Source organism: Homo sapiens, chromosome 9 (genome assembly GCF_000001405.40).
Source record: "Homo sapiens chromosome 9, GRCh38.p14 Primary Assembly".
Classification (NCBI taxonomy): Eukaryota; Metazoa; Chordata; class Mammalia; order Primates; family Hominidae; genus Homo; species Homo sapiens.
In genome coordinates this window covers 91,213,603-91,232,969 of record NC_000009.12, presented here as the reverse complement: position 1 = coordinate 91,232,969, position 19,367 = coordinate 91,213,603, and the positions used below count along the sequence as shown (strand labels likewise).

The following is a 19,367-nucleotide window of genomic DNA, read 5'->3' as shown; positions in this document are numbered from 1 at the left end:
GGTCCTAAACAACAAGTAGACAGCATGTGAGGTGATGATTGCAATTACTTACTTGGTTATGTAAATTCTGTTGCTTTAATTTAAGAGAATTATCTCTCCACCTCCTGTTTTAGAGCAGTGGGTTAGTAGATTCTGCTGCCTCTTCAGCTGAATGTTGGAGCCTATTAGAAATGCAGAACCTTAGGTTCACCTCATACTCACTGAATCAGAACCTCCAAGTTGACACAGCCAAGGCAAAAAGCCTTAGAAATCCCCTTGTATATTCTAAGCATTCACACATTAGAAAGGGAAGGGCAGTGGCCAAGGCGCTTTCTTTCTTCATAGCATAGTAATGCAGCTTTGGAACTCAGTTTCTGCTTGCTGATCTGGACATAGCGTCATGTAGGTACACGAAACTTCACATAGTACCTTTGGCTGGTGGGGTGTTGAAATGGCAGAAATATTATAGTTGCTTTTCTGTGGAAGGAAAAGTGCTATAAATTTACTACCCCTAGGAAGGTTTGAGGCACTTGTTTTTTAAAATTTATTTTTAACTGACAAATAATTGTATATTTATGGGGCACAATGTGATAATTTTGTTTTCATTTTTATATTTTTAGAGACAGATCTCGCTCTGTCACCCAGGCTGGACTGCAGTGGCATAATCATAGCTCACTGTAGCATCCACTTCCTAGGCTCAAATAATCCTCCTGCCTCAGCCTCCGTAGTCAGCATGCGATGCCTGGCTGATTTTGTATCTCTATGTGTGGTAGAGACAGAGTCTTGTTACGTTGGCCAGGCTGGTCTCAAACTCCTGGGCTCAAGCTATCCCCCTGCCCCAGCCTCCTAAAGTGCTGGGATTACAGGTGTGAGCCACCACCATGCCTGGCCATAGTGTATTGATCTATGTAAACATTGTAGAAAGAGTCAATCAAGCTAATTAACATATCCACGACTTCACCAACTTATCTTTTTTTGTGTGGTAAGAACATTCAAAATCATATAAGTACATACTATTATTAACTGTGGTCGCTGTGAGATCTTTGTTTTTTAGTGGAAGCCTTGTGAGCTATCCTGTAATTTTCAGCTTATCTTCACATTTCTCCTCATACTCTGTAGTACTATGGAGTATCTGCAGGAGTGTCCTGGGAATGTGTTACTTGCTGATGTCGTAATCCCTGAGTATATAGCTCCAGCCCAGGGAGCCTCAGAGCAGATCCTGACCAGGAGTCAGGCTCTGCATTGGAAGCTGTTGGGATGGACAGTGTGAGTTTGAATAGTTTTGTAGACCTCTGTCACCTTGAATGCATTAGGGCTGCTTGTGAGACTGAAACAATTATAATTTCACCAAGGACAATCCTATTTTTTTAATTCCACTGCTTAATGTCATCAGTCACCAAGACTGTTTAGAAGTGGCACTTTAGATGACCGAATAGGAACAGCTCCGGTCTACAGCTCCCAGCCTGAGCTACGCAGAAGACGGGTGATTTCTGCATTTCCATCTGTGGTACCAGGTTCATCTCACTAGGGAGTGCCAGACAGTGGGCGCAGGTCAGTGGGTGCGCGCACCGTGTGTGAGCCGAAGCAGGGCGAGGCATTGCCTCACTTGGGAAGTGCAAGAGGTCAGGGAGTTGCCTTTCCTAATCAAAGAAAGGGGTGACCGACGGCACCTGGAAAATCGGGTCACTCCCACCCGACCCGAATACTGCGCTTTTCCGACGGGCTTAAAAAACGGCGCACCACGAGATTATATCCCGCACCTGGCTCGGAGGGTCCTACCCCATGGAGTCTCGCTGATTGCTAGCACAGCAGTCTGAGATCAAACTGCAAGGCAGCACCGAGGCTGGGGGAGGGGCACCCACCATTGCCCAGGCTTGCTTAGGTAAACAAAGCAGCCGGGAAGCTTGAACTGGGTAGAGCCCACCACAGCTCAAGGAGGCCTGCGTGCCTCTGTAGGCTCCACCTCTGGGGGCAGGGCACAGACAAAAAGACAGCAGTAACCTCTGCAGACTTAAATGTCCCTGTCTGACAGCTTTGAAGAGAGCAGTGGTTCTCCCAGTAGGCAGCTGGAGATCGGAGAACGGGCAGACTGCCTCCTCAAGTGGGTCCGTGACCCCTGAGCCCCGAGCAGCCTAACTGGGAGGCACCCTCCAGCAGGGGCACACTGATACCTCACACTGCAGGGTTCTCCAACAGACCTGCAGCTGAGGGTCCTGTCTGTTAGAAGGAAAACTAACAAACAGAAAGGACATCCACACCAAAAACCCATCTGTACATCACCATCATCAAAGACCAAAAGTAGATAAAACCACAAAGATGGGGAAAAAACTGAACAGAAAAACTGGAAACTCTAAAAATCAGAGTGCCTCTCCTCCTCCAAAGGAACGCAGCTCCTCACCAGCAACGGAACAAAGCTGGACGGAGAATGACTTTGACGAGCTGAGAGAAGAAGGCTTCAGACGATCAGATTACTCTGAGCTATGGGAGGACATTCAAACCAAAGGCAAAGAAGTTGAAAACTTTGAAAAAAATTTAGAAGAATGTATAACTAGAATAACCAATACAGAGAAGTGCTTAAAGGAGCTGATGGAGCTGAAAACCAAGGCTCGAGAACTACGTGAAGAATGCAGAAGCCTCAGGAGCCGCTGCGATCAACTGGAAGAAAAGGTATCAGCAATGGAAGATGAAATGAATGAAATGAAGCGAGAAGGAAAGTTTAGAGAAAAAAGAAAAAGAAACGAGCAAAGCCTCCAAGAAATATGGGACTATGTGAAAAGACCAAATCTACGTCTGATTGGTGTACCTGAAAGTGATGGGGAGAATGGAACCAAGTTGGAAAACACTCTGCAGGATATTATCCAGGAGAATTTCCCCAATCTAGCAAGGCAGGCCAACATTCAGATTCAGGAAATACAGAGAACGCCACAAAGATACTCCTCGAGAAGAGCAACTCCAAGACACATAATTGTCAGATTCACCAAAGTTGAAATGAAGGAAAAAATGTTAAGGGCAGCCAGAGAGAAAGGTCGGGTTACCCTCAAAGGGAAGCCCATCAGACTTAACAGCGAATCTCTTGGCAGAAACCCTACAAGCCAGAAGAGAGTGGGGGCCAATATTCAACATTCTTAAAGAAAAGAATTTTCAACCCAGAATTTCATATCCAGCCAAACTAAGCTTCATAAGTGAAGGAGAAATAAAATACTTTACAGACAAGCAAATGCTGAGAGATTTTGTCACCACCAGGCCTGCCCTAAAAGAGCTCCTGAAGGAAGTGCTAAACATGGAAAGGAACAACTGGTACCAGCCGCTTGCAAAATCATGCCAAAATGTAAAGACCATCGAGACTAGGAAGAAACTGCATCAACCAACGAGCAAAATAACCAGCTAACATCATAATGACAGGATCAAATTCACACATAACACTATTAACTTTAAATGTAAATGGACTAAATGCTCCAATTAAAAGACACAGACTGGCAAATTGGATAAAGAGTCAAGACCCATCAGTGTGCTGTATTCAGGAAGCCCATCTCACGTGCAGAGACACACATAGGCTCAAAATAAAAGGATGGAGGAAGATCTACCAAGCAAATGGAAAACAAAAAAAGGCAGGGGTTGCAATCCTAGTCTCTGATAAAACAGACTTTAAACCAACAAAGATCAAAAGAGACAAAGAAGGCCATTACATAATGGTAAAGGGATCAATTCAATAAGAAGAGCTAACTATCCTAAATATATATGCACCCAATACAGGAGCACCCAGATTCATAAAGCAAGTCCTGAGTGACCTACAAAGAGACTTAGACTCCCACACATTAATAATGGGAGACTTTAACACCCCACTGTCAACATTAGACAGATCAACGAGACAGAAAGTCAACAAGGATACCCAGGAATTGAACTCAGCTCTGCACCAAGAGGACCTAATAGACATCTACAGAACTCTCCACCCCAAATCAACAGAATATACATTTTTTTCAGCACCACACCACACCTATTCCAAAATTGACCACATTCTTGGAAGTAAAGCTCTCCTCAGCAAATGTAAAATAACAGAAATTAAAACAAACTGTCTCTCAGACCACAGTGCAATCAAACTAGAACTCAGGATTAAGAATCTCACTCAAAACTGCTCAACTACATGGAAACTGAACAACCTGCTCCTAAATGACTACTGGGTACATAACGAAATGAAGGCAGATATAAAGATGTTCTTTGAAACCAATGAGAACAAAGACACAACATACCAGAATCTCTGGGACACATTCAAAGCAGTGTGTAGAGGGAAATTTATAGCACTAAATGCCCACAAGAGAAAGCAGGAAAGATCCAAAATTGACACCCTAACATCACAATTAAAAGAACTAGAAAAGCAAGAGCAAACACATTCAAAAGCTAGCAGAAGGCAAGAAATAACTAAAATCAGAGCAGAACTGAAGGAAATAGAGACACAAAAAACCCTTGAAAAAATTAATGAATCCAGGAGCTGGTTTTTTGAAAGGATCAACAAAATTGATAGACCGCTAGCAAGACTAATAAAGAAAAAAAGAGAGAAGAATCAAATAGACGCAATAAAAAATGATAAAGGGGATATCACCACCGATCCCACAGAAATACAAACTACCATCAGAGAATACTACAAACACCTCTATGCAAATAAACTAGAAAATCTAGAAGAAATGGATAAATTCCTTGACACATACACTCTTCCAAGACTAAACCACGAAGAAGTTGAATCTCTGAATAGACCAATAACAGGATGTGAAATTGTGGCAATAATCAATAGCTTACCAACCAAAAAGAGTCCAGGACCAGATGGATTCACAGCCGAATTCTACCAGAGGTACAAGGAGGAACTGGTACCATTCCTTCTGAAACTATGCCAATCAATAGAAAAAGAGGGAATCCTCCCTAACTCATTTTCTGAGGCCAGCATCATTCTGATACCAAAGCCGGGCAGACACACAACCAAAAAAGAGAATTTTAGACCAATATCCTTGATGAACATGGATGCAAAAATCCTCAATAAAATACTGGCAAACCAAATCCAGCAGCACATCAAAAAGCTTATCCACCATGATCAAGTGGGCTTCATCCCTGGGATGCAAGGCTGGTTCAATATACGCAAATCAATAAATGTAATCCAGCACATAAACAGAGCCAAAGACAAAAACCACATGATTATCTCAATAGATGCAGAAAAGGCCTTTGACAAAATTCAACAATGCTTCATGCTAAAAGCTCTCAATAAATTAGGTATTGATGGGACATATTTCAAAATAATAAGAGCTATCTATGACAAACCCACAGCCAATATCATACTGAATGGGCAAAAACTGGAAGCATTCCCTTTGAAAACTGGCACAAGACAGGGATGCCCTCTCTCACCACTCCTATTCAACATAGTGTTGGAAGTTCTGGCCAGGGCAATTAGGCAGGAGAAGGAAATAAAGGGTATTCAATTAGGAAAAGAGGAAGTCAAATTGTCCCTGTTTGCAGATGACATGATTGTATATCTAGAAAACCCCATTGTCTCAGCCCAAAATCTCCTTAAGCTGATAAGCAACTTCAGCAAAGTCTCAGGATACAAAATCAATGTGCAAAAATCACAAGCATTCCTATACACCAACAACAGACAAACAGAGAGCCAAATCATGAGTGAACTCCCATTCACAATTGCTTCAAAGAGAATAAAATACCTAGGAATCCAACTTACAAGGGATGTGAACGACCTCTTCAAGGAGAACTACAAACCGCTGCTCAAGGAAATAAACGAGGACACAAACAAATGGAAGAACATTCCATGCTCATGGGTAGGAAGAATCAATATCGTGAAAATGGCCATACTGCCCAAGGTAATTTACAGATTCAATGCCATCCCCATCAAGCTACCAATGCCTTTCTTTACAGAATTGGGAGAAACTACTTTAAAGTTCATATGGAACCAAAAAAGAGCCCGCATTGCCAAGTCATTCCTAAGCCAAAAGAACAAAGCTGGAGGCATCACACTACCTGACTTCAAACTATACTACAAGGCTACAGTAACCAAAACAGCATGGTACTGGTACCAAAACAGAGATATAGATCAATGGAACAGAACAGAGCCCTCAGAAATAACGCCGCATATCTACAACTATCTGATCTTTGACAAACCTGAGAAAAACAAGCAATGGGGAAAGGATTCCCTATTTAATAAATGGTGCTGGGAAAACTGGCTAGCCATATGTAGAAAGCTGAAACTGGATCCCTTCCTTACACCTTATACAAAAATCAATTCAAGATGGATTAAAGACTTAAACGTTAGACCTAAAACCATAAAAACCCTAGAAGAAAACCTAGGCATTACCATTCAGGACATAGGCATGGGCAAGGACTTCATGTCTAAAACACCAAAAGCAATGGCAACAAAAGCCAAAATTGACAAATGGGATCTAATTAAACTAAAGAGCTTCTGCACAGCAAAAGAAACTACCATCAGAGTGAACAGGCAACCTACAGAATGGGAGAAAATGTTTGCAACCTACTCATCTGACAAAGGGCTAATATCCAGAATCTACAATGAACTCAAACAAATTTACAAGAAAAAAACAAACAACCCCATCAAAAAGTGGGCAAAGGACATGAACAGACACTTCTCAAAAGAAGACATTTATGCAGCCAAAAAACACATGAAAAAATGCTCACCATCACTGGCCGTCAGAGAAATGCAAATCAGAACCACAATGAGATACCATCTTACACCAGTTAGAATGGCGATCATTAAAAAGTCAGGAAACAACAGGTGCTGGAGAGGATGTGGAGAAATGGGAACACTTTTACACTGTTGGTGGGACTGTAAACTAGTTCAACCATTGTGGAAGTCAGTGTGGTGATTCCTCAGGGATCTAGAACTAGAAATACCATTTGACCCAGCCATCCCATTACTGGGTATATACCCAAAGGACTATAAATCATGCTGCTATAAAGACACATGCACACGTATGTTTATTGCGGCATTATTCACAATAGCAAAGACTTGGAACCAACCCAAATGTCCAACAATGATAGACTGGATTAAGAAAATGTGGCACATATACACCATGGAATACTATGCAGCCATAAAAAATGATGAGTTCATGTCCTTTAGGGACATGGATGAAATTGGAAATCGTCATTCTCAGTAAACTATCCCAAGAACAAAAAACCAAACACCGCATATTCTCACTCATAGGTGGGAATTGAACAATGAGACCACGTGGACACAGGAAGGGGAACAATCACACTCTGGGGACTGTGGTGTGGTGGGGGGAGGGGGGAGGGATAGCAGTGGGAGATATACCTAATGCTAGATGACGAGTTAGTGGGTGCAGCACACCAGCATGGCACATGTATACATACATATGTAACTAACCTGCACAATGTGCACATGTACCCTAAAACTTAAAGTATAATAATAATAATAATAAAAAAAAAGAACTGGCACTTTAGGAATCCTGAATTCAGATGCCTAAGGGAACTAGCAGATTATATCATCTAATCTAATGAAGCAAGCCTGGTGTAAAATAGTCAACTGACAGAAATAGGATACGCTATCTTCACTTTTACCCCTAACTCTAAGTTAATATTGGAGTTTGATATTCAGAATTAAGAAAAGGTGAACTGAAGTAATTTTTTTCTAGTTCTCCTCTTTACATTTGGAGCTTACAGTCTGATGCCAGGCATGGCATGCTAACTAGGGAGGCTGAGGCAGAAGGATCATTTGAGCCTAGGAGGTGGATGCTACAGTGAGCTATGATTGCACCAAGATTTTGGCACATCTCATCTTTTGGATTGGGATGTTTTTCTGCACTATTTGACTTCCTTAACCAGCAAGAATACTGAGTTTCATTTAGTTTAATTATAGAAAATGCGTGTTCATAAATTTAAGTACTTTCAAGCTGGAAAAGAATGTTGGCATAAAAAGTTTTGCCATTTGGGGTAACTATTCCGGAGATATTTGTAAAAATCTTAGATTCCATATCAATCATGTTTAGTTGTCCAATATTGCATTGTAACTTCCATTTGTAAAGTTCTTTGCTCATAGTATCATTAGTAATTGAGAAAGGCAGACTGAACAGATTATATCATTTTTATAAACCTTGAAATCATGAATTTTGTATGCCTGAGGGGTGGAGGGGACAGTTTACTTTCAGTTTCACACATGTAAAAATATATATAATTCAGGCCATCAGTCTTAGATTTCTGCAAACTGGGATAATTTCTTGCCAAACAAATGTTCTAAAAGTTAAAATTTCAGTGGGAATGAGTGAATGAAATCATGTATTTGTGTAATCATTTAAGAATGTCCCTTTCAGGAAATAGTGTTAGGAATACTTTATACCCTATGCAAAAATTAACACAAAACTGATCAAAGACCATAGCATAAGAACTAAAAGTATACAACTCTTAGAAGAAAGCATAAAGAAAAAGCTTTATAACATTGGATTTGGCAATAATTTCTTGGATATGACACCAGTAACACAGGCAACAAGAGAAAAAAGAGGTAAATTGGACCAAAATTAAAGACTTTTATGCATCAGGCACTATCAACAGAGTGAAAAGGCAACCCATGGGATGGGAGAAAATATTTGCAAGTCTATATCTGATAAAGGATTAATATCCAGAATATATAAAGAACTCCTGTAACTCAACAAATGAAACAACTCAAGACGCAAATTAAAAATAGGCAAATAACTTTAAATAGACATTTCTCCAAAGACAATATATGGATGGCCAATAAGCACATGAAAACTTAGGCGCTCAGCATGACTACTCACAATGAAATTGCTACCAAAACACCAGGGGTTTTGTCTAGGTCCTCCTGTTCACTGCACAGAAAGCCCATCACTGTCACGACAAGTATTGCCAAGGAAGAAGGCTTTAATCGGCTGCTGCTGCTGAGATGGGAGCTCAGCCTCAAATTCATCTCCCTAACCCACTAAAACTAGGGGTTTATATAGCAGGGAAGAAATGTAACAATGTGTAAGAAAACAAGAACTAGGGAGGGGCAAGGAGTCATCTGGTCTGGTGATCAGCTGAGTTTTGGTTCTTTGATACTTTTTTTGAAAGGCCTGAAGGTCCTTTTCTGGGGAAGAAACTCAAAACAGATGCAAGTTTCAAACTTTAACAGCAGAAGGGTCAATTTCTTTGTTTATCCAAAAAGAACTGTCTATGGGACTATTGGGTGGGTTTCAAAATGCTACTGCACACCCATTAGGATGGCTACTATAAAAAAAAATAGTAAGTGTTGGTGAGGGTGTAGAGAAATTGGAATTCTTGTTCTCTGTTGGTAGGAATGTAAAATGGTTTGGTGACTATGGAAAACATTATGGTGATTTCTCAAAAAATTAAACTGGAATTACTGTATGATCCAGCAGTCCCACGCTGTATATATTGAAAGCAGAATTGAAAGCAGGGTCTTGAAGAGATATTTGTATATCCATGTTCATAGCAGCATTATTCACAATAGCCAAAAGGTAGAGCAACCCAGGTATCCTTCCAGGGGTGAATGGATAAGCAAAATGTGGTATATACGTACAATGGAATGTTATTCAGCCTTAAAAAGGAATGGATTTCTGACACATGCTACAACAGAGGTGAATCTTGAGGACATTACGCTAAGTGAAACAGGTGAATCACAGAAAGACAAATACTGAACGATTCCATTTATATGAGGCAATAAAGTAGATGGCTTGTGATGTCATCCAAAAAGATCAAGTCCTGGATGCAGTGTTAGTGGGTGAGCCACGCCAAGGGTTTTCCCCTGGTTCCTGTGATGCATTGTTTTCAATGGGTCAGAAAGTTAGCTCTCTTCTGCACCATACCTCTAGCCTCCACCGCAGGCCCGCCAGCCATCTGTTGTGTTATGCATCCAGCTTAAGAAACAAAGCATCCAGCTGTCTACCCCTCAGCTTAAGGGACTGGGTCTTTTTCCTAGTGTTAGTTACCACCTACATGACCATTACTTTGTTAAGTTTCTGCAAAAATCCTCATACCTCAGGATCATGCTATAAGTGGAACAATATGATGAACGAGTTTGAGCTTCCGGGACTTGGAAAATGTTGTTTCTGTTGAATAAAAAGTGTGACATTAACAATGTGGGTCACATTTGTTAATTGTGACCAGTCTACATTAAACTTTTCATAGAACATGAGAAAGAACCATTTCCTAATATGCTTATCATGAATAATATATATTCATTAAGTTCTTCAGTCTCATCAAAATTCTCATCAGCTCCATGAGTAAATATAGTTATCTGAGTTATATTTATATCTGTGTTCTAATCAGCTGCCATTGGAAGCACCATAAATAGCTTGTCTTTTCCATGCAGCTTATCCCGTAAGTTCTCAGACCTATCTTTACTACACTGAGCAACATCATTGTCGAAAGTTAAATTTAAATTTGTCAATAATTCATTGTCTTCAGACACATATTTTCTGCCGTATCGAGTAAACACTTATATAAACTCACCATCTCTAACGGCTTGGGCAGCTTAAACACGTAATAACTGCATTTTGCGGTAGCATTATTGTATTTGTTTGAAAACAGTCTGTATTGAAAATATTAGTCCTTTTACAATTCATTCAGGGTTTCTTTTTCTAAGTGTTACCTGTGTTCTAAATATTAATTACGGTTCTTAACATGGTTTGCTTAATAATGGCATCTTAAGCTCTGTTCTTCCAACTGAGGCATACTTTGTTAAACATGTGCCTTCTTGTGGTCTTTAATTTTTTTCCACTTTTCATAGAGGTGTGAACAAAAAATGATTTTGCTTTCCTTTAAAGGAAAAATACTGGAGGTAAATTGGTTTTTTTTTTAAGATAAAATCACTCATCTAGTTTTAAATGTTGCTAACTAATGCAGAAAGAAAAGTTTTAAATTTTGTAGGTCAAGTAAAACCCAGTGAACTTGTGTAGATGGTGGGCGTCAGTTTGCTTTTCCTGCTCTGCAAGGGGGCAGTCTGCTGCTCCTCTGCCTCTTGGCACAGCCATTGATAGGGTGAGATTTAGGTGAATGCTGATGTTGAAGCTGTTTTCATTTCTTCTTGGTAGACATTGAGGCTAGACCTGTGTTACCTGCTTTTGCCCAACTTTGTATTTAATGAGATCCCGTCCTCATCACTGGAAGATACTGAAGTGAATACATAGATGGATCTAGTGAGTTAGGCTATCTTCAACAAAATAAGCATCTTTTGCTGTAGAACTATTCTGACCTACATTTACCCTAAATCATGCTAATATACCCACTGTTTTCCCTTGGAGTTGAAGAGTTAATGAACTCCCGAAGTCCCTAAAGTAGTAAGTGACAACGTCAAAACCAAATGCATGGCTTCTGACTCCACACACAGTGGATTTTCCTCACCAGCTGGAAAAGGGGTGTGTTTGTGTGAGAGAGCGTCTCCGAGAGAAGAGCTAACGGAGATGACCAGGACTTGCACTGAGAAAATACCACCAGGACAAAGCCTGTTTTCATGAGTCATTGTCTGGTTTTATTTCTAGATTAAAATGTGTTTACAATGTATTCGCCATAAAGGATTCTTTAAAAGAACAGGAGTTGAATGTCTCACAATGTGTTAAGATTTATTTAAGCTGAAAGAAGAATGCCAAGCTTGGTGGAACTCTGCCTTTCTAGTCAGTGGACTTACTGGCTGGTACTGCCTATCCACTGCTGTTCACCTGATGGTTACTGATGGGGTGATGACTGTGGATTGGACTCAGTGTATACCAGAGAGGTTGCAGGTGATACTCAGTGCCAAAATCACTTAATAAGGATGTAAGGTTCTCAAGTCCTTTTTTGGTGTTATTAGTTTTATAGGGGAATTAAGAAATTAGATTCTGTTCTGAAGTAGTTTTCCAGCTACTAATTTTAACATATAAACTTCTGGCCCTGGTTTATTTTTATAAATGAAGATATGAAACACTGAAGTGTTAAAACTAACAGGTGTCAAATCATTGCCTTTTCTCTCTCTTTCACCCCTCAGGGGGGACACAGCGATTGCCACGCGCCATTGGAATGTCCCTGGCCAAGGAGCTCATATTCTCTGCGCGAGTCCTCGATGGCAAAGAAGCCAAAGCAGTGGGCTTAATCAGCCACGTTCTGGAACAGAACCAGGAGGGAGACGCGGCCTACAGGAAGGCCTTGGACCTGGCGAGAGAGTTTTTACCTCAGGTATTTCTCATTAAATGAGTTTATTTTTTCTCATTTTAGGAAACATTATAACACTTTGACTAAAACAGCAGTCATCTTGCCTATGGAAGAAGTCCCTGGCTTGCTTCCAAGTAAAGGGATGCGTGGGCTCTGTAAAACTAGAGCAGTTACACAAGATAAACACTATGATCCTGTGGAATTCTGATGACGCTTTGAAGATGCTCCAAGGGTCTTATTGTAGCCACACTTTGATAAAATATCCCTTGACAATGCTTGTCACATGTGCACAACTTCCTAGCAAGGTGTTTTAATTTGCTCACCAGCTGAGCACTCTAATGGAAGCCATAGCCATGGAAAGAAAGAGTGATAGGGCTGGCTGTCACACTGGGCCACCCCAAGTCAAAATACATTGAAATATGCTGTTTTCTAGTAAGGGACTGTAGTCTGTTGTGCCAGAGTGGACTTCCATTGCAGTGGCTTCACTTGAAAAGTGAAAAGCCTGCTTGAAAAGCAGCAGTTGTTTGTCTTTCTGTGTGTTTGCCTATGGTGGTGTAGGCGTTGTTTTGACTCCATTGTGCTTCCTCACAACTACACTTTCAAATCTAGAACATGATGCGTATGGCTGACTCAGGAGTGATATCAGTGGCCGTGCACTGACAGTCCTGCTTTAAGCAATTCTTTTTGTCACCCGTTCAGATATATTTTTCAAATATGCCTTTGGTCTGAAATCACAAGATTAAAGGGCTTTAAATTGAGAGAAAGAGTCTTCTTTTGCTGTGTAAGCAGTAGTGATCTTCTTTATTCCTAGTGGAGTTTGAAGTTTTATAACCCCCTAACCATTTCTAGAGTCAAAATAATTTTTCTCTCTAACTCAGGGTTGCTTAACTCAAACAGGTTTCATAACCTTTTTTGTGGGCTGTGGATCTTTTTGGGAATGCCATGAGATTCCAAATTCATGCATTTGATTCTTTTTAAAAATGCATGAATGCTCACATTTGTTCAGAGTCTTGCATCCAGTTTCAGAAAGTGTTCTTGGCACTCAGCACAGGAGCCTTTGCTGACAAACCAGTCCCCACTCTGCTGGTATGCACCTGCTGAATCGGTTTTTAAAACCACACTGCCTGGCATTGATGCTTCTGGTCCTTCTTAATTAACTTAGGAGCTGTTAGCTCTTTTAGGGAAGGACCATTATATAATTTATTCCCCACATAAGGTAGTGCAGAGCCATACATTCAGTAGATGCTCAATAAGTATTTGTTGGATTGATGGAAACAGAGCAAATAAAAAAAGATTTTTGCCTTAAAAAGATAAGATTCTCACTACAAACTTATTTATTCTTCCCAAATATGAGAGAAGTCTCTACCTAAAGACAAATTAAAGGTACAAGTATCAGGAGAGTATAATCTGACTGAATATTGGTGTTATAACTTACCTTGGCTTAAAACTTTATGACCAGAACATACCTCAGTTGAAAGAAAGGGGTGTGTTTAAGAAAGGTTATGACACAGTTCCAATTCTGATGATCTGCAGAGCCCGCTCCTGGCCTCCTGACATGGATGTTCAGCTCTCTACTTCAGAGCTCCCTATAGGCAGCTTATTAGCCCCTTAGGGCCTGACTTGCTCTCTCTCCCATGATGCTTCTGTGGCCACCATGCAGCAAATGCCACCACCGTCCACACACCGCCCCGCCTGAGAACGTGAGCACTGTCCTCTCCTCTGCTCCCTCCTTCCACTGCCAGTGTGTCGAGCCGCATCCCATTGTGTGGTTACCCAGCCGTCATCACAGTCCCTGTGCATGTGCCTTTGTCACCTTTCATTGGAAGGACACTCCTTCAGAATGTTGATTGTTAAAATTAATTTTCCTCCAGGTCAAACAAATAAGAAGATGTTGATGTATAAGAAGATGTTGAGTTACTTCAGAAAATATGTGACTGCAAAATTACATGCACGAGTCACCAAATGAAGTTTGAGTGGAATCACCTTTATTTTTATGTTTGTTACTTTGTTGCCAAATGATTAGTCCTCCAGATAACTGAAAGCTTTTGTAAAATCAGTATTTCTAGGTGATATCTGTATTATATATTACTTCCATTTATCTGAGAAAAAAAGGCTTGTAAAGAAGAAAAGGCACTGGAAATGTTTTAAGGAGGAAACAAATTAAATCAAGCACTATTTCTAATAGCATTTTGAATTTTCCTGTTTTTCTCATGGCTTTCTAAACTTTACTTCCCAAAGTGTGGTCTGTGGACCAGCAGCCTGGGCATCTCCTGGCAGCTTGTTAGACGTGCAGAATCTCAGGCCCATCTCAGACCCACTGAGTCCACATCTGCATTTTAACAAGGAGGATGGGGATTTGTGTGCATCTAGGAGTTTGACAAGCACCTTTTCTTGGTCAGTTGACAATGAAAATGGAAAAATTAGAGGAGCACACCATTTAATAAAATGGATTGATTATCATGAAAAAAATGGTGGTGGTGTCTATGATATATACAAATCACAGTGGGAAGAATTATCAATAAGATATTTGTCTAACAACTATAGCCTTGGAAATTGTGGCCTTTGAAAAAGATTTGTAAACATGATTTGGAAGAAAATTTAGATAGGTCAAATTTAATAATAGAAACTCCTTGATAGGAAAACATGTCTTTTCATGCATTTATCCATGTCACCATCCAAGAGTCCTTTGCTGTGCCTGTTGTTTAGAGCCTACCTTGTGTTTTAATTCAAAAGAGCATTCAGTTCAAAATATAGCATTGAATTCACATTTATTACCCATAAATGGTATTTTAGGACTTTAAAATGTGATCCAATAATGAAATTCCATCTGAGGGATTCTGGTTTTTCTGCTTGGTAAGAGTTTGGCTTCTGCAAGACACAGGTAACATTCTCCTTCTCACAACAGATATCCAGTTCATTCCTTGTGACTCTTCTGCATCCTGAAAGACTTATGTAGACTTCATATTTATGTGTGCTGTGGGAGCACTGCTTAGAGGACACTGTTGATTAATCCACCATCATTGCTGTTAGTTGTCAAGGCGAATGGAGGAAATATAGCCAGTGTCTGAAGGAGATGATATCAGAACCCTACCTTAATCAATAGCAACAGCCTCATCCCCAGCCCAAGCTTCTTTCAAAACCCCTAATTGGTGTGGTACTGAGGCAAAGACTACCTCCTTTTCCTTCCTCTACTTAACTTCTAGGAAGTGTTGCTGAAGAACAGCAAGCTCACAGCTGGACATGCACTACCTGCTCACCTTTAAGGATCCGGAGTTTGCAGCATAACAAAACATGTGGAATCTAAATAATGTGCTGATGTGGTTGTTGCAGTTGCTCTTTAATTACAGCCTTGCAAGGCTCAGAAAATTTTCCATCTAGTATCTGACAGCCATTGCTGGCTGTGCAATGGATCCAGTGGTGGGAATTCTGAATTTTACTGAGATATACGACATAATTTGCATAAAAAATAATTGAAGTCTGTTTCTTTAATTTGAATTTTAGGGACCTGTTGCAATGAGAGTGGCAAAATTAGCAATTAATCAAGGGATGGAGGTAGGTTCCTTAATGCTTGAGTTTGTTTTGGGAATGGAGAGTGGAGATTTAATTTAAATGAACCATGTTTAGACTTCTACATTTTTTTTAAAGTTCTAAAATATGGTTGTTTAAATGCTACTATTACTGAAAGCTACTGAAGTTCCTTGCAAGTACGTCATTTATTTCATTCTTACAGTTATTGCTAATTCAGTATCACAAGCACAGAATTCAGTAATTTTACCAGTGCCCTGAAGCTTATGACATGCTCATTATTCTTGCCATCCAGTTAACAGACAGATTTATTGGCTAGTAGTTCATAGAAAACCAAAATAACAGGGCATTCTGTGCATTTTTAGCATCAGTATTATATTATACAAAACATTCCAAGAACAGCTAGCTCTTTCCACCTTTAGCTTCTCAGTGTGCCTTCTACAAGGAGGCACACGCAATGCAGGTATAAGGTGAATCCATTGTGTGTCCTGGGGGTACCCCAGGGAGATGACTCCAAAAGAGTGAAGGCCCCAGGCCTGGGAGGAGGGGGTGGTGCACATACCCATTTATTGGACTTTTCATGGCAGTTATTATATTTTGGGTAACTTATGGGTATTTTGAAGAAAAGTGCTTCCTTCTTGGTAGACTAAGGAACCTCCGCATCTTCCTGGGCTGTATAGCAGTAAAAAGAGATTGACTTTATACAGTCAATACTGTATAACAGTAAATACAGTTTCATAAATTTGCAAAAGTATTTGATTGGTTTATTTAAATATTTACATAATGGTAACAATACCAATAGCAAATACCTTATATAGCCCTTACTATGTATTAAGCATCGTGTGTGTGTGTGTGTGTGTGTGTCGCGACATAAAGGCCTCACCTAGATTAACTCATTTAATCCTCACAATACTCCCATTTGGTGAGCATTATAATTAGCCCCTTGTTCAGACATGCCTCTTTGAAGCACAGAGAGGTTAAATAACTTCCCCAAGGTAACTCAGCTCCCAAGTGAGGGAGTCAGGACGAACCCAGGAAGCCTGGTTCTGTGTCTCATGTTGGTCACACTCTGATCTGCTGTACTATATCAAAGGATTGGGTGCTTTGGGGATAAGGTTATTCAATTTGAATTTCTGTTGAATATACCACATTTCGCAAAGTTATTTCTGCTGAAATGGATTATGTTTTTATTCTCAGGTCGATTTAGTAACAGGGTTAGCCATAGAAGAAGCTTGTTATGCTCAGGTATGTAATGCAATCACAAATTCAATGAGGATGACCCTTACAAATTATATTTACCTTCTGTATAATTCAAATGAATTTCACTGAGCAAGATTACCCTTGCGCCCATTCCAAAATCATACAAATGGGTTGAAATTAGTTGTTTCTGCTATTTGTTACCAGCTCTTATGACTGATTCTGTTCCACAGGAATGCCTCTTGTCTATATAATCTAGAAAACTCTTAGAGTAACTGAGTCAGTCCTGGGTGTGCAGGAGCTGTCTCTCTAGGCTTATGCTTTCTTTTGTGGGATTGGTCCTGGCCTCCCACTGCAATGTAGAGAGGTAGAGGAGAGTGGTGATGAGCGTGTGCCTGCCATGCAACCTGGGGTGAGACTGCTTGGCTTTTCCTGAACCTCTGATCTGTCTCTCCTGACCACTGAAAGTTCACTAATGAAATTATAGTTTTATTTTTTACACAGTCGGCCCTTTTCATCTGTAAGTTTTGCATTTGTGGATTCAACCAAGTGTAAATTGAAAATATTCAGGAAAAAAAAAGATGGTTGCATCTGTACTGAACATGTACTGACTTTTTTCCTTATTATTCCCTGAACAATATAGTATAAGAACTGTGTACATGCCATTTACATTATATTAGGTATTATAAATAATCTAGAGATGATTTAAAGTATACAGGAGGATGTGCGTAGGTAATATGATATGCAATTTTATTAATATATAAGGGACTTGAGCATCTGCAGATTTTGGCATCTGCAGGAGGTCCTGTAACCAATCCCCTGCAGATAACTGAGGGATGACTGCATACAAATTATTAGGTCTTCCTGGAGAGGAAAAAAAAAATGTTTTCCCTTTTTTGTCTTTCTCTGAAAGATAGAACTTTGTTTTAGGGCATCTGAAATAGCAAAAAAGTTTTGTTCTACCTTTCCTGGGAGTTGGAAACTGCATGAGCACTCGTTTAAAGGAGCAGTATCTAGAGTGTGACTCTGTGCCCAGCTTGTATATATAAATCACCACCTGTCATTGATGAGTACGTGCCATGAGGAAAGTGAATTACAAACGTCTTAGAAATAGCCTCAGAGCCCAAAGAAAAATTTTAAAAGCACATTTGGCCATAAATTACAACTTACTAAATGTAAACACCAGAAATTATTCAAGGTATTCTTCAGACCACAATGGAATTAAACTAGAAATCAATAAAAGAAAGACTGCTGGAAAAACCCAAAATATTGGGTGATTAAACAACATCCTTCTAAATAATGTTATATGTCAGAGATGTCTTGAGGAATTATAAAGTATTTTGAATTAAAATGAAAATACAACTTCTCAAAGTTTGTGGGATATACTGAAAGCAGTGCTTAGATAGAAATAGCATTGGATGTATATAATAGAAAAGAGAAAATATCTAAATCGATAATAACCTTCCACCTTATTAGGAAACTAGAAAAAGAAGAGCAAAATGGGGTAGAGGACCACTTGGAGTAAGAAGGATGAGTTTGGTTACATAATTAGGAGAATTGTTCAGGTGACTGATTTCAAAATTTTAGAATGTGGTTCTAAGTAGTTTTCTTAGATAGTGCTTGATAAACTTTTACAGTTGTTTTAACATTTTTGACATATTTAATATTTTGTTTTTCTTAGACCATTCCAACAAAAGACAGACTTGAAGGTCTTCTTGCTTTTAAAGAGAAAAGGCCCCCTCGCTATAAAGGAGAATAAAAGGAACAGAAATTCTTAAGATGCCAATGTAATAAATGTACTTCCTGGAAGTGTCTTTCGGATCCACTATATGCCTCAGCACATGGAACCTTAATGACCAAAGTGAAGAGCAGATTATTCATACGGTGTAATAAGCATCTGGAATGGACCCATCCGTGTACTTCATTCAAATGTGTAAATGTCATATTCATTCAGATTTATAAAGCTAGTAGTGTATAGTCAGAAACAGAATCAAAGTTAGATATACATTTTTAAATATTTACTGCATATGAGGCTTTCTGTTAATTTTTTAATGTGAATAATTTATATATTGCACATTCTAGGGAATAATATTGATTGTATGTCTACTGTGCTGCATTAAGAAAATAAAATTTCTATATACCAAAAATGTGAAGTTATACCAAATAAAGTTTCTAAGTGATTAATGCATACGAACAGCTACATATACATATATCTAAACCTGAAAAATGAATTGATATTCTGAGTGAAAACTACCTAATATAAATAAAATTAGTGAAAAGAAAACATGGGAATTTTTCTCTTACCCCATTCTTTTTGAATTGACTAAATCATTGCATGCTGGACTTTAGAAGAAACAACCCTTTCATTGCTGCTTCTATCAGGCAACCTCTTTACATGGTCAGTCCTGTAATACAGTATTGAAGGTGAAGAATGAATCCAAAGACTGAAGCCAAAGAACCAAAGCGGACAGGAGACCTAGTGCAGTGGGACTTGCTGGGACCTC

The 19,367-nt window shown here is 39.5% G+C and overlaps 1 protein-coding gene across 17 annotated transcripts in view, besides 1 other annotated feature; it reads left to right on the top strand.

Annotated features, from left to right (window-relative positions):
* The window catches only part of AUH (AU RNA binding methylglutaconyl-CoA hydratase), a 148,096-nt gene extending 128,949 nt beyond the window's left edge, over positions 1 to 19,147 (top strand). For 9 of the 17 annotated variants that reach the window (NM_001306190.2, NM_001698.3, XM_006717150.4 and 6 more), the window contains 4 exons: positions 11,978 to 12,165; positions 15,643 to 15,693; positions 16,864 to 16,911; positions 18,545 to 19,147. In NM_001306190.2, the coding sequence (NP_001293119.1) occupies positions 11,978 to 12,165; positions 15,643 to 15,693; positions 16,864 to 16,911; positions 18,545 to 18,622 (365 nt within the window). In that variant the 3' untranslated portion in view covers positions 18,623 to 19,147. Of the gene's footprint in view, positions 1 to 11,977; positions 12,166 to 14,012; positions 14,611 to 15,642; positions 15,694 to 16,863; positions 16,912 to 18,544 lie in introns of those variants that run through there. The other 8 variants (XM_047423525.1, XM_017014849.2, XM_005252067.5 and 5 more) reach the window with 3 other exon arrangements.
* Positions 15,089 to 15,689: an enhancer, noted in NCBI's record as "OCT4-NANOG hESC enhancer chr9:93979563-93980163 (GRCh37/hg19 assembly coordinates)". NCBI's record gives its function as "activates a minimal SCP1, AML or CMV promoter by ChIP-STARR-seq in primed H9 embryonic stem cells {active_cell/tissue: H9 hESC(primed)}" and the evidence as "EXISTENCE:reporter gene assay evidence [ECO:0000049][PMID:30033119]".